This window comes from Homo sapiens, chromosome 1 (assembly GCF_000001405.40).
Source record: "Homo sapiens chromosome 1, GRCh38.p14 Primary Assembly".
NCBI classification, from domain to species: Eukaryota; Metazoa; Chordata; class Mammalia; order Primates; family Hominidae; genus Homo; species Homo sapiens.
Genome location: NC_000001.11, coordinates 112,602,549 through 112,616,942, shown reverse-complemented (window position 1 = coordinate 112,616,942; position 14,394 = coordinate 112,602,549). Strand labels below are relative to the sequence as shown.

Here is a 14,394-nt window from a genome sequence, read left to right as displayed (position 1 = left end):
CTTTAAATTTGCATTTTTTAAAACTTTGATTCTTGTTCTTTTGACAGTGACTGTATTTTTAAATTCATTGACACCCAAATTCTATGTGGCACTTACAGGGACCTCTTCATTGATATCAGGACTAATATTTGTAAGTAGTTTCCATTTCCTTCCTTCATGTTTTGGTGTTTATCTAAAGATATTTTTTTTTTTTCTTTTTTGAGACAGAGTCTTGCTCTGTCGCCCAGGCTGGAGTGCAGTGGCATGATCTCGGCTCACTGCAACTTCCGCCTTCCAGGTTCCAGCAATTCTTCTGTCTCAGCCTCCCGAGTAGCTGGGATTACAGGTGCCGGCCACCATGCCCGGATAATTTTTGTATTTTTAGTAGAGATGGCATTTCACCATATTGGTCAGGCTGGTCTCCAACTCCTGACCTCAGGTGATCCGCCTGCCTTGTCCTCCCAAAGTGCTGGGATTACAGGCGTGAGGCACCGCCCTGGCCTAAAGATCCTTTATATGGTTATAATAATTATAAATTATTATTACCTATGGATTAGCATTTCCAAAATGTATTCAGCATTTGAAAAGAGTTACCTATTCAAACAAGTTTGGGGAACACTGCATCTCCCAATCTACTTTTAAGAGATTGACAGTATTTATTTACATATTAAAGGCTTATTGTAAACTGTAGTCAGGGAGGGCTTGGGGTGTGTTGGAAATTAAATGCCTGCAGAGCCCAAGTTGGTAACAAAAATGAGTGAAATGGATAGAGTTTAATAATTAAATTCTTATTTCTTTGAGGACTGGGTAGCCTGGACAGTGCATGCCCCTTCTAAAAGAGGCTAAAGCTAATTGTTGCCATATAGACTTGGAACTAGTATTACCAGGTTTTTCAATTTTTCAAATGATTTAAAGAGAACCCAGACAGGCCGGACGTGGTGGCTAACACCTATAATCCCAGCACTTTGGGAGCCTGAAGCAGGCAGATCACTTGAGGCCAGGAGTTCAAGAACAGCCTGGCCAACATGATGAAACTCCGTCTACTAAAATACAAAAAATAACTGGGTATGGTGGTATGTGCCTGTAGTCCCAGCTACTCGGAAGGCTGAGGCATAAGAATCTCTTGAACTTGGGAGGTGGAGGTTACAGTGAACCAAGATCTTGCCACTGCACTCCAGCCTGGGCGACAGAGAGAAACCCTTTCTCAAAAATGAATGAATAAATAAGTAGAACCTGGACATACAGTTTTTATATAAAATTTGCCCATTAAAAAAAAATTGAGATGGAGTCTCACTACGTTGCCCAGGCCAGAGTACAGTCGATATTCACAGGCACCATTATAGCACACTGTGGCCTTAACTCCTGGGCTCAAGCCATCCTCCCGTCTCAGCCTCCCTAGTAGCTGGGATTACAGGCATGTGCCACCATGTCTGACTACAGCATTTTAATATTGGCAACATTGGGAAGACTAAAATTTATGTGTCATGAATTCAACTTACAGTTTTTTCAAGCCCCAGTTTCCTCATCTGTTAACTGGCAGTTAATAGCATGAACTTTATAGGATTATGAAGAGTAAATCAGATAATGTTGTAAGTTTATAACATGATAGCTGGTTCAGAATGTACACTTAATGAATTTTGGCCATTATTCTGAGAATTCTCACAATTAAGAAACCTGTTTGGCCTGATACAGTGGTTCATACCTGTAATCCTAGCACTTTGGGAGACCGAGGTGGGGTGATAGAGTTCGAGACCAGCCTGGGAAACATGGAAAAACCCTGTCTCTTCAAAAAAATACAAAAATTAGGCGTGTGTGGCGCACCTATAGTCCCAGCTACTGGAGAGGCCAAGGTGGGAGGATCACTTGAACCCTGGAGGGAGAGGTTACAGTGAGCCAAGATGGTGCCACTGCACTCTAACCTGAGTGACAGAGCAAGACTCTGTTTCAAAAAACAAAAACAACAAAACTGTTTAACTTTAATTCAACTTTTCCTTGAAGAAGATATTTTTAATTTAAAAAAAATAAAATATTTTTTATAATTCACGTTAACATCCCTAGGATGTCATGTTTACTAGTGTACACTTTGGAACAATACTGCTGCAGATAAAAATCTTAAGAAGTTTTATGCCATGCATAGCCAATAAATTTTTCTCTTCCCTTTAAATTTTTATTTATTTTTTGTAGAGACAGAGTCTCACTGTGTTGTTCAGGGTAGTCTCAGACGCTTGGGCATAAACGATCCATTCTCCTCGGCCTCCCAAAGTGCTAAGGTTCCAGGCGTGAACCACCATGCCCAGCCTGTTCTTTTTTTTATCTCTAGGTGGTGCTCTCCAGCTGTAGTAGAAATAGCATTTGTATTGGATCTATTTTTTTAAATAGGGACTAAATACAGACCATTTTGTTAAAGTGAAATGCCAAACAAGAACGAGATTTTTCTCTTGGCTAAAAAAAATAGAAGCTATTGAGGAATTCAGGATTAAAACTACATGTTAATATAAGCCTCATAATTTAACATAAGCATATTTTAGCATGTTTAGTCCATAGCATACAAAAGTCTAAGTAAAGACGATAAACTGTCTTTAAGCCAGGCACGGTGGCTTACACCTGTAATCCCAACACTTTGGGAGGATGGAGTGGGAGAATCCCTTAATGCCAGAAGTTTGAGACCAGCCTGGGCAACAACAAGACCCTGTCTCTATTTAATATGGTTTTTGTTTGTTTGTTTTAAAGAAACTATCAATATTAAGCAGCTGATATAGTGGAAAAAGCTCTGGTTTGGGAACCAGAAGATAAAATTTTGAATCTTAACTCTGCCACTTACTAGCTGATAATTTTGGGCAAGCTACATAAACTGTCTAAGCTATAATTTCCTCATTTATAAGAGGGGGATAACTTATATATATGATGTCTAAAACCTTGTAAAAAACTTTTTGTGGCCAGGTGTGGTGTCTCGTGTCTGTACTGCCAACACTGTGGGAGGCTGAGGCAGGAGGATTGCTTGTGGCCAGGAGTTCAAGAGCAGCCTGGACAAATGAACAAGATCTGGTCTCTGTATAAAATTTTAAAAATTTAGCGCGTTGTGGTGGCGCATTCCTGTAGTCCCAGCTACTTCAGAGACTGAGGTGGGAGGATTGCTTGAGCCCAGGAAATCGTGGCTGTGGTGAGCTGTGATCATGCTACTGCACTCCAGCCCGGGCAACAGAGTGGACCTTGTCTCAACAACAAAACAACAACAACAAAAACCCAAAAAAACCTTTTGTTACTCTTTATAAAACCGCATTTTAAATATACACAAATTAGGAAATTCAAGTAACATTTTAAAGGTTAAACTGTATTATTACCCTTGCAATGTTGATGGGTTTTTATTAGCAAAGGTTGTTGTGTTTATAATTTCTTTTACCACCTGGATTTAACAAACTTGTATATACATATAATCACATATACATGTATAAAGAGATATATTTATGAATCAGTCTGGTGTAATGGTTGGAAGCTCCGAAGTCAGGCAAACCTGAATAAGAATCCCAGCTCTGCCAGTTACCAGTGATGTGAACTGTTATTTAAATTTGGAATGTGTGTCCTCATCTCTAAAATCAGTTGTTATAAAAATTAAATGACATAATGCATGTCAAGGATTGGCATAATGTGTGGCTCATAGAAAGCTTTTGATAAGTATTTGCAGTTATTATTACCATTGTTCATTTGTGTTAAAAAGTTGACTCAAAAGTTGAAAAAAGCCCCTAACTTCATACTCATTCATTAGAAAACCCACCTGCACTTTGTATGGTGAAGGGAAGTGTGTTGTTGTTGCCCTTGATGGTACTTATCTTCTCTTTTTTTTTTTCGAAACAGTGTTTTACTCTGTCACCCAGGCTGGAGTGAAGTGGTACAATCACAGCTCACAGCAGCCTTGACCTGCTGAACTCAAGCAATCCTCCCACCTCAGCCTCCAAAGTAGCTGGGACTACAGGCACACACCCTCACACCTGGCTCATTTTTTTTATGTTTTGTAGAGATGGGGTCTCACTATGTTGTCCAGGTTAATCTCAAATTCCCAGCCTCAAGTGATCCTCCCACCTCAGCCTCCCAAAGTGTTGGGATTATAGGCATGAGCCACCGTGCCTGGCCCTATCCAATTTTCTTAGCCAAGATTTATTCAATATAAACCTTTTCTGTCACATGAACAGTTTCTGCTTGTGTAAAGAAGTTTTATCTCACTTCTTAGTAAAATATATGGTAGAAGTCAAACCATGGCCTCATTTGGTGGTAATTCTTGCTAACTTAAGAGTGAGCAGAAAGAGATACCATTTTAGACTGAGCATAAAACATTAGTGACATGATAGAAAAAATGCTGCACCATGATTTTCTCACACTTTCCTATAAACGTTGTGGCATGTAGTCAGCGGGCCCCAACATGACTATACTTTTGGCACCTATGTAGCATATTTGTTCTGTTATTTACTGAAGCAAAAAAATAACATTCCTACAGATTTGAAAATGCTGATTTTTTTGTGATGGGTTCTGTTTGTGGTCATAGTAAAATAGTTTTCAAAAATATTATAATCTGGCCGGTCATGGTAGCTTACACCCATAATCCTAGCACTTTGTGAGGCCAAGGAGGGCAGAGCGCTTAAGCCCAGGAATTTGAGACCAGCCTGGGCAACATGGCAAAACCTTGTCCCTACAAAAAACATAAAAATTAGCTGGGCATGGTGGCACATGCCTGTAGTCCTAGCTACACGGGAGGCTGAGGTGGGATGATCACCTGAGCCCAGGGAGGTCAAGGTTTCAGTGAGCTGTGATCATGCCACTGTACTCCAGCCTGGTGACAGTGGGATCCTATCTCAAAACATTTTAAAAAAAGGAAATAAAAAGATTAAAATCTCTTAGTTGTGCATATGCTTTGTTTATTCTTTAAAGTAATACATGTATCCACTACATTTGGCAGAAGACTAGTCTGTCAGGTGACTTTTTTTTTTTTTTTTTTTTTTTTTGAGACAGGGTCTCACTCTATTGCCCAGGCTGGAGGGCAGTGGTGCAATCTCAGCTCACTGCAGCCTTGACCTCCTTGGGCTCAAGAGATCCTCCCACTTCAACTTCCTGAGTAGCTGGAACTGCAGGCATGCACCACCTCACCCAGCTAATATTTTATTTTTATATTTTTCTGTAGAGATGAGGTCTCACTGTTTTGTCCAGGCTGGTCTAGAATTCTTGGGCTCAAGCGATTCTTCTTGAGGATCCCTCTTTTGGGACTTCTTGGCCTCCCAAAGTGCTGGAATTACAGACGTGAACCACCGTGTCTGGCCTGGTTTCTCTTTTTATATCAGTGATAAACCATGGAAATAGAAAGAAATGAATATCCTGATTTTTAAATGGTTCAATATGGGAATCAACTTGACCTTAACCTTTATTAATAATTTTGCCAAATACCAGAGTAGTACTTTTTGCTTCAGAAAGCACTTTCTTATAATTCTTGTTAACCACATTTAGCTGAGGCTCTGAGATATTAAGAGATTAAGTGACTTGCCCACAGCACACAGCTAATAAATGACTGATTTGGGAGTTAAAACATGGGCATGCTGATGCTAGTCTAGTCTGTTCATCCACTATGCTTATTATTTGAAAACTGTTTATGCTGCAGATAGAATAAAATGACAATGTAACTTAACAGAGTTAAATTACTTATAGATTAAAATGCTTCTTTCTGTTTTTAATGCTTTATTACATATGCCTAGTTTTGCTTAAGCTTGTCTAAATTTTATGACGGAACTATAAAAAATGTATTTCACTTTTACGTGACATGTTATTGGTGAATCTTGTGTTTGTATGTTTTTTTCTTTTTGAAAGGAGAGTGCATTTAAAATGCTGAATTGAACAGGACATCTTGAGAGAATGTTTTAATTTGAGCTCATGTATCTGCTGATCGATTCTAAGTGCAGGATATTTTCTGTTTGTCATAGATATTTGAATGGTGGTACTTCCATAAGCATGGCACATCTTTTATTGAGCAAGTATCTGTAAGCCATTTGCAACCACTGATGGGAGGAACAGAGAGCAGCATTTCAGAACCAGGTTCTCCTTCGAGGAACAGAGAAAATGAAACCAGCAGACAGAATTTGTCAGGTGACTACTTTTCTAATGTGTTTTCAGAGCTGTGTATTTAAGATTGAGTTTGGCTCTGGGAGATAGAAAACTCAAAACAGCAGAGTGCTGTGGTGTGCATGTTTGTGTTTCCCCCAAAATTCTAATCACCAATGTGATGTTACGAGGTAGGGTCTTTGGGAGGTGATCAGGTCATGAGGGCAGTGCCCTCAGGGATGTGATGAATGCCCTTATGAGAGACCCCAGAGAGCTGCTTGCCACTTCTACCGTGGGAGGACACCACGAGAAGGCGCCGTCTGTGAACCAGAAAGCAGACCCTCACCAGACACCAAATTTGTTGGTACCTTGGTCATAGACTTCCCAGCCTCCAGAACTGTTAAAAATAAATTTATACTGTTTATAATCTACGCAGTTTGTGATATTTTGTTATAGCAGTCCAAATGGACCAAGACACAGAAATTTGTCTTTCATGTTAATATAGTTAGTCCATGGCTAGTATGGAAAACAATAATCATCAGATACCCAGACCCCTTCTATTTTGTTAGCCTGCCATCTCCAAATGTAGTTTTTACTTTGTCGTGTAAGACTGTTGCTCTTGCTTCAGCCATCATATCCACATTCCAATCAGTAGGAAGGAAAGAAATCCGGGGTAAGGTCACTACTTCCCTCTACTCCACCCCACAGAAGCCAAGGACTATTCTCAGAAATGTTACATACTATTTCACCTTACTTCCTACTGGTCAGGTCTGTTTCATATGGCCATTACTAGCTATAAGGAAGGCTAGAAATTTTCATCATTTTCTCAGTGTATATATATATATACGCCCAGCAAATCAGGGAATCTTATGACTAATAAAGGAGAGAACAGAAACAGCCATCTCTGCCAAGAGAGAAAAGTAGGAAAAAAAATTTTTTTCAGTATACTTAAAAAGGCATCAAAGTCTCAGCTCTTCATGGATGGATATTCCATTGTCATACTTTTATTGTAGACTGTTCCTCTATTTGTGTCGAGTAATCGCAAATTTATTTATTTATTTAGTTAGAGACAGAATCTTGTCTGTTGCCAGGCTGGAGTGCAGTGGTGCGATCTCGGCTCACTGCAACCTCTCCTTCCAAGTTCAAATGATTCTCCTGCCTCAGCCTCCCGAGTAGCTGGGACTACAGGCATGCACCACCATGCCTGGCTAATATTTTGTATTTTTAGTAGAGATGGGGTTTCACCATATTGGCCAGGATGGTCTCAATCTCTTGACCTCATGATCTGCCCACCTTGGCCTCCTAAAGTTCTGGGATTACAGGCGTGAGCCACCATACCCAGCATTTTTTTTTTTTTTTGAGACGAAGTCTCTGTAGCCCAGGCTAGAGTGCAGTGGTGCAATCTCAGCTCACTGCGACCTCTGCCTCCTGGGTTCAAGTGATTCTCCTTCCTCAGCCTCCCAAGTAGCTGAAATAACAGGCATGTACCACTGCACCCAGCTAATTTTTGTATTTTTAGTAGAGATGGGTTTCACCATGTTGGCCAGGCTGGTCTTGAACTCCCGACCTCAGGTGATCTGTCTGCCTCGGCTTCCCAAAGTGCTAGGATTACAGGCGTGAGCCACTGAGCCTGGCCAGCTAGAAAGCAAATATTTTTAATGATACATAATTAGGAAAGGAAAATTTACAAAGCCAAATACAATTATTATTATTATTATTTTAATAGAGATGAGGTCTCAGTATGTTGCCCAGGCTGGTCTCGAACTCCTGGGCTCAAGTGATCCTCCCACCTCAGTCTCCCAAAATGTTGGAATTACAGGTGTGAGCCATCGCTCCTGGGCCAAAATGAATATTTTGGATTATTGTTCCTTTCACTGGGATAGGTAATAACCATATAGTAATAATACAAATGAGTTAATTCCATAATATTCCAAATGCCTCATTTGTTCAATAGCTTACCACTAGAGTTATGATAGTTTAGTAGAAAAATACTGCCTGAGTGCAACTGGTGGCACTTTTTAGATTTGGTCAAAGTCCCTGAGGAAGCACCATTTAAGTGGAGTCCTGAAGCCTGACTAGGAATAGTGGGGTGGGGTTGGCAGCCATTCAAGAGTACAAGAAGGAATAATGGTCATTTCCTTTCCTCTTCTTTCTTTTTCATAAAATAATTACAGAACCCCTAAGAGTAAGGCATATTAAGATGAATACGATACAGATCTGTCCTCATGAAGCTCAGCGTTCAATATATAAATAATTATAACAATAGCACATGATGTGATTTTATTTTCCATTGTAAGACTGAATATGCCATTAATAATGAGAGTGAAGATAACCTTAAGAACATTTCATCTTGGCAGAGGATACAGATATAAATAAATTGACAGTAAAAGAGTATGGTTAACTGCTTTTATAGAGTATCTTATATATGATACTCTATAAAGATACATGGTGTCTTATATAAGATACTATGGTGACAGAAAAGAAAGAGTGGTCAGTTATTCTTGGAGGGAGGGCCGCAAAATATATCACAGAGGAAATACTTGAATTGGATCTCAAATTGAGTTAAAAGCTGGGCACAGTGGCCCAAACCTATAATTCTAGTGCTTTAGGAGGCTGAGGTAAGGGGATCACTTGAGACAAGGAGTTTGAGACCAGCCTGGGCAACATAGCAAGACCCCCATCTCTACAAAAAATAAAATCAGTTGGGCACAGTAATACGCACCTGTAGTTCCAGCTACTTGGGAGGCTGAGGCAGGAGGATCACTTGAGCCCAGGAGTTTGAGGCTGCAGTGAGCTATGACTGTGCCACTGCACTCCAGCCTGGGTGACAGAGCAAGACCCTCTCTCCAAGGGGGAAAAAAAAATTTTTTAAGTGAATTAAAGCATGCTTTTGTTCAATTTTTTTCTCCCTGGATAACTTCATCTTATTCAATAATATTAGCTACCACAGACATATATGCTGGGGGGAACCAATTTAAAATTTTTACCCCCAAGTTCTCTTTTAAACTCTAGACCTACATTTCTAACTCTTTGCTAGAATTTTCCACCTTTAATGGCCCTAACCACCCTGAACTCCATCCAAAATGAAACTAATTATCTTCTTCCATAGTTCTTCCTCTATAATTCTAAAATCTTCTAATGGCGTCCAATTCCATTTTAGCAATCTTTGGGTTTTTTTTTTAGTTTATATCATTTATATTTCCCCTGTTTTCTCCAATCAACCCCAAATTGTATTCCCCCTTAAAAATCATCGTGACTCCATTCTGCCTTCTTTTTTATTTTTCTTAGATGGAATTTCACTCTTGTTGCCCAGGCTGGAGTGCAATGTCGCGATCTTGGCTCACTGCAACCTCCACCTCCCGGGTTCAAGCGATTCTCCTGCCCCAGCCTCCCGAGTAGCTGGGATTACAAGCACCTGCCACCATGCCAGAGTAATTTTTGTATTTTTAGTAGAGATGGGTTTTCGCCATGTTGGCCAGACTGGTCTCAAACCCCTGACCTCAGATGATTCATCCACCTCGGCCTCCCAAAGTGCTGGGATTACAGGCATGAGCCACCAGGCCTGGCCCATTCTGTCTTCTTTTCTTTCAACATTCATAGCCCCATATCTAGGCCCTTAAACATCTCTTCCCTTGGCTATTGCTATAGTATCCTAAGTGGTTTCCCTTCCTCTTACACTTCCCCTTCTAGTACATACTCTCTCCTTACTAGGTAAAAAAAAAAGTGGTTCTCAAACTTTTTAGACTAAGAAATCCTTTACATTCTTAAAAAATTATCCAGGACCTCAAAGAGCCTTTGTTTAAATGTGGACTATATCCATCAATATTTATCATATTAGAAATTAAAGCAGGAAATTTAAAAATATTTTAATAGTAGTAAATCCATTACGTGTTAACATGTTGTAGACTGAAATGTGTCCCCCAAAATTCACATGTTGAAACTCTAACCTCTAATGTAACTGTATTAGGAGCTAGGGTTTTTAGGAGATAATCAAGGTTAAATGAGGGGATCCTAATCTGATAGTATTGATGGCTTTGTAAGAAGAAGAGAGGGATTGCTGTCTCTCTGCCATGCAAAGACACAGTGAGAAGACTGCTCTCTGAAGGCCAGGAGGAGAGCCCTCACCAGAGCCCAACCATTCTAGTACCTTGATCTTGGACTTCCAACCTTCAGATTGTGAGAAAATAAATTTCTGTTGTTAAGCCACTCAGCATATGATACTTTGTTATGGCAACCTGAGCTGACTAACTCAGATTTTGTTACGAAGAAGTGGGGTGCCACTGTAACAAACACCTAAATATGTGGAAACAGCTTTGGAGCTGGGTAATGAGTTGAGGCTGGAAGAGTTTTGAGGTACACACTTGAAATATGGATAAGGACAGTTTGGTGAGGTCTCAAGTGGAAATGAGGAATATGTGGTTGGTAACTGGAGGAAAGGTGGTCCTTGTATAAAGTGGAAAAGAACTGGCTGAACTGTATTCTAGCATTTTGGGGAGAGTAGAACTTGAGAGCAATGACATTGGATATTTAGCTGAGGAGATTTCTAAGCAAAGTGGCACCACTTAGTTTCTTCTGACTGCTTATAGTGAAATGTGAAAGGAAAGAGATGAATAGGAGAAGCCCTTGTTAAGCAAAAAGGAACCACAACTTGAAGATTTGGAAATTCTCAGCCTATCCATTTTATAAAATACATGAGAAAACTTGCTCTGAAGACAATAGTAGGGATGTGGTTGAACAACTATTTGATATCACGTGTGCACTTCATGGACTTAGTCATCTTAGTAGAAGCCAGGAACAGAATTGAGTTTACACGAGCAAACACACTACCAGTTTGAACTAAAAGGGACAGGGAAGGTGGGACAGAATGAAGGAAGGCTGTTAGACTTTTTGGATTCTACAGGACCAGACCATAGAGCTGTTCAATTGTCAACATGTATTGACTTCAAAGAAAAGGAAGAATGACCAAATCCAGGACTGCTGCTCCCAATACAGGCCCAGAGGGCAAGGCTGTTTCCTCCTTGGTTTCAAAGGGTGAGGCTGCCTTTCCAGTTTCTGGGGCCAGGCCACCCTCACAGAGAACTGCATGGGTGGGGCTGTACCACAGAGATATGGGGGTGACACTGCCACCCCAGTAGGCCTGGAGGGCAGAGTATCAAGCCAAAAAGAATTCTCAAGCTTTTTCTCTTTTTTTTTTTTGAGACAGAGTCTTGCTCTGTTGCCCAGGCTGGAGTGCAGTGGCGTGATCTCGACTCACTGAAACCTCTGCCTCCTGGGTTCAAGTGATTCTCCTGCCTCAGCCTCCCGAGTAGCTGGGATTACAGGCATGCGCCACCACGCCTGGCTAATTTTGTATTTTTAGTAGAGACGGGTTTTCTCCACGTTGGTCAGGCTGGTCTGGAACTCCCAACCTCAGGTGATCTGCCTGTCTTGGCCTCCCAAAGTGCTGGGATTACAGGCATGAGCCACCACACTTGGCCTCTTTTTGTTGTTGTTGAGACGGAGTCTCACTCTGTCGCCCAGGCTGGAGTGCAGGAGCGCAATCTCGGCTCACTGCAACCTCTGCTGCCTGGGTTCAGGTGATTCTCCTGCCTCAGCCTCCCGAGTAGCTGTTATTACGGGCACCTGCCACTGCACCCAGCTAATTTTTTTGTAGTTTTTAGTAGAGATGGGGTTTCATCATCTTGGCCAGGCTGGTCTTGAACTTCTCATCTCTTGATCCACCCGCCTTGGTCTCCCAAAGTGCTGGGATTATAGGTGTGAGCTACCATGCCCGGCCCTTTTTTTTTTTTTTTTTTTTGGAGCCGGAGTTTCACTCTTGCTGCTCAGGCTGGAATGCAATGGCGTGATCTCTGCTCACTGCAACCTCTGCCTCCTGGGTTCAAATGATTCTCCTGCCTCAGCCTCCCGAGTAGCTGGGATTACAGGCATGCACCACCACGCCCAGCTATTTTTTTTGTATTTTAGTAGAGATGGGGTTTCACCATGTTGGCCAGGCTGATCTTGAACACCTGACCTCAGGTGATCCACCCGCCTTGGCCTCCCAAAGTGCTAGGATTACAGGCATGAGCCACCACGCCCAGTCTTTTTTTTTTTTTTTTTTTTTTTTTTTTAAGAGAGACAAGGCCTCACTATGTTGCCCAGGCTGGGGTCTTGAACTCCTGGGCTCAAGTGATCCTCCTGCCTCAGCCTCCTGAGTAGCTGGGATTACAGGCATGTACAGGAATGCCATTGTGCCTGGCATTCAAGTTTTAAGATGTAATGGAATTTGCCTTGCTAGGTTTTGGACTTGGTAACCATTACCCTTTCCTTCCTTTTGATTTTTTTCATTTGAGAATGGGGATGTCTATCCTATGTCTGCCCACCATCATACTGTATATTGGGAGCACATAACTTGTCTGGTTCCATAGGTTCACTTCTGGAGAGGAATTGAGTCTAAGAATGAATTGTACCTTGAGCCTCTCCTATGTCTGATTCAGATAATATTTAGATGAAACTTTGGCCTTTAGATTTTAGAATTGATGCTGGAATGAGTTAAGACTTTTGGGGGAGAATTGTTGTATTTTTATTTATTTATTTTGTGATGAAGTCTCGCTCTGTTGCCTAGGCTAAAGTATAGTGGCACCATTTCGGCTCACTGCAACCTCCGCCTTCCAAGTTCAAGCAATTCTTGTGCCTCAGCCTCCCAGGTAGCTGAGATTACAAGCATGCGCCACCATACCTAGCTAATTTTTTGTATTTTTAGTAGAGACAGGATTTCACTGTGTTGACTAGGCTGGTCTCAAACTCATGACCTCAAGTGATCTGCCCACTTTGGCCTCCCAAAGTGCTGGGATTACAGGCGTGAGCCACTGTGCCCAGCCGAATTAATGTATTATATATGAAAGACATGAATTTTGGGGGGCCAGGGCCAGAATGCTGTAGACTGAATTGTGTTCCCCAAAATTCATATTTTGAACCCCTAATCCCCCATATGACTATTGAAAATAGGGCTTCAGGTGGTAATTAAGATAAAATAGAGTGGAAACCTGATAAGACAGGAAGGCCTTATAATAATAATAAGAGATACCAGAGCTCTCTCTTCCTTGTGAGAACACAACAAGAACTCAGTTTCACCAGAACTCAGCTGTGCTGGTACCCTGCAGGTACCTTGATCTCAGACTTCTAGCCTCTAGAATTGTGAGAAAATAAATTTCTGTTAAGCCACACAGTCAATGGTATTTTGTTACGGCAGCCTGAGCTATACACACATTGTGAAAAATGTATTTCCCACAACAAGAAAAAGTTCAGTTAATAGAAGACAGCTTATTCTCCATTGTCTATTGTGAAATGGTGTTTGATTGAAGTGTATGAAGAAAACCTGGCATCACACAGATGTGTAATTGGAAAGGGGAGGAGTATTTTAATAATCTTCTCAGAAAATTGTGGATACCTTTTTTTGATACTACACTAAAACTTTCTATGAGTACTCTTCTGAAAGTTTAGTTGCAGTGTAAAATCTGAACTTTGCATGCTCTGTTATGTGAAAATCTATTGGTATATCTTAACATTTTGAATGGATCTTTTACCGATGCATAATTTTATATCATACATTGGTTGTTTGGAAAATACTTGTTCACTGAATTATGCATATCATATCCATATCATGATCCATCTTATTGCATAATACGAAAAAACTCACTTGTTAATATCATCACCATTCTCACAGAAAAGTCTTTATTGTGAAATTTGCCAGGCTCACAGTAGCAGACATACATTTTTAAAAATTTCAGTATGTACTTGAAAGCTCAAATTTTATCACTGGCAGCAAATACTTTCATTTTCTTCCTTTTTCTTGACAGACTCAGTTCATTTTTAAGAAAATATCTGCCAGGGGCCGGGCGCGGTGGCTGCCTATAATCCCAGCAGTTTGGGAGGCCGAGACGGGTGGATCACGAGGTCAGCAGATCAAGACCATCCTGGCTAAGATGGCGAAACCCCGTCTCTACTAAAAATACAAAAAAATTAGCCGGGCGTGGTGGTGGGTGCACCTGTAGTCCCAGCTACTCGGGAGGCTGAGGCAGGAGAATGGCGTGAACCTGGGAGGCGGAGCATGCAGTGAACGGAGATTGCACCATTGCACTCCAGCCTGGGCGACAGAGAGAGACTCCGTCTCAAAAAAAAAAAAAAAAAAAAGAAAGAAAATGTCTGCCAGGTACCCATCTAAATAACCGTTAAATTTGTGTGTGGCTCTTTCAAGTAAAAGTGGTGTTTCATTACAAAAGGGGCCAGTTCTCACAAACAATTGCTTTACTAGAGACAACCATCATACCTGCTATAATGTTTAAAAGAAATTTGCCT

The 14,394-nt window shown here is 41.0% G+C and overlaps 1 protein-coding gene across 28 annotated transcripts in view; it reads left to right on the top strand.

The window, feature by feature from the left end:
• ST7L (suppression of tumorigenicity 7 like) overlaps positions 1 to 14,394 on the top strand; it is a 101,882-nt gene that overhangs the window by 2,742 nt on the left and 84,746 nt on the right. For 26 of the 28 annotated variants that reach the window (XR_007061293.1, XR_007061292.1, XR_007061291.1 and 23 more), the window contains 2 exons: positions 48 to 130; positions 5,940 to 6,102. Coding sequence is in view for 17 of the 28 variants with exons in the window: in XM_011541628.3 (XP_011539930.1) it covers positions 48 to 130; positions 5,940 to 6,102 (246 nt within the window). In the remaining 11 variants the exon portion in view is untranslated. Of the gene's footprint in view, positions 1 to 47; positions 131 to 5,939; positions 6,103 to 14,229; positions 14,249 to 14,394 lie in introns of those variants that run through there. The other 2 variants (NM_138727.4, XM_047423374.1) reach the window with 2 other exon arrangements.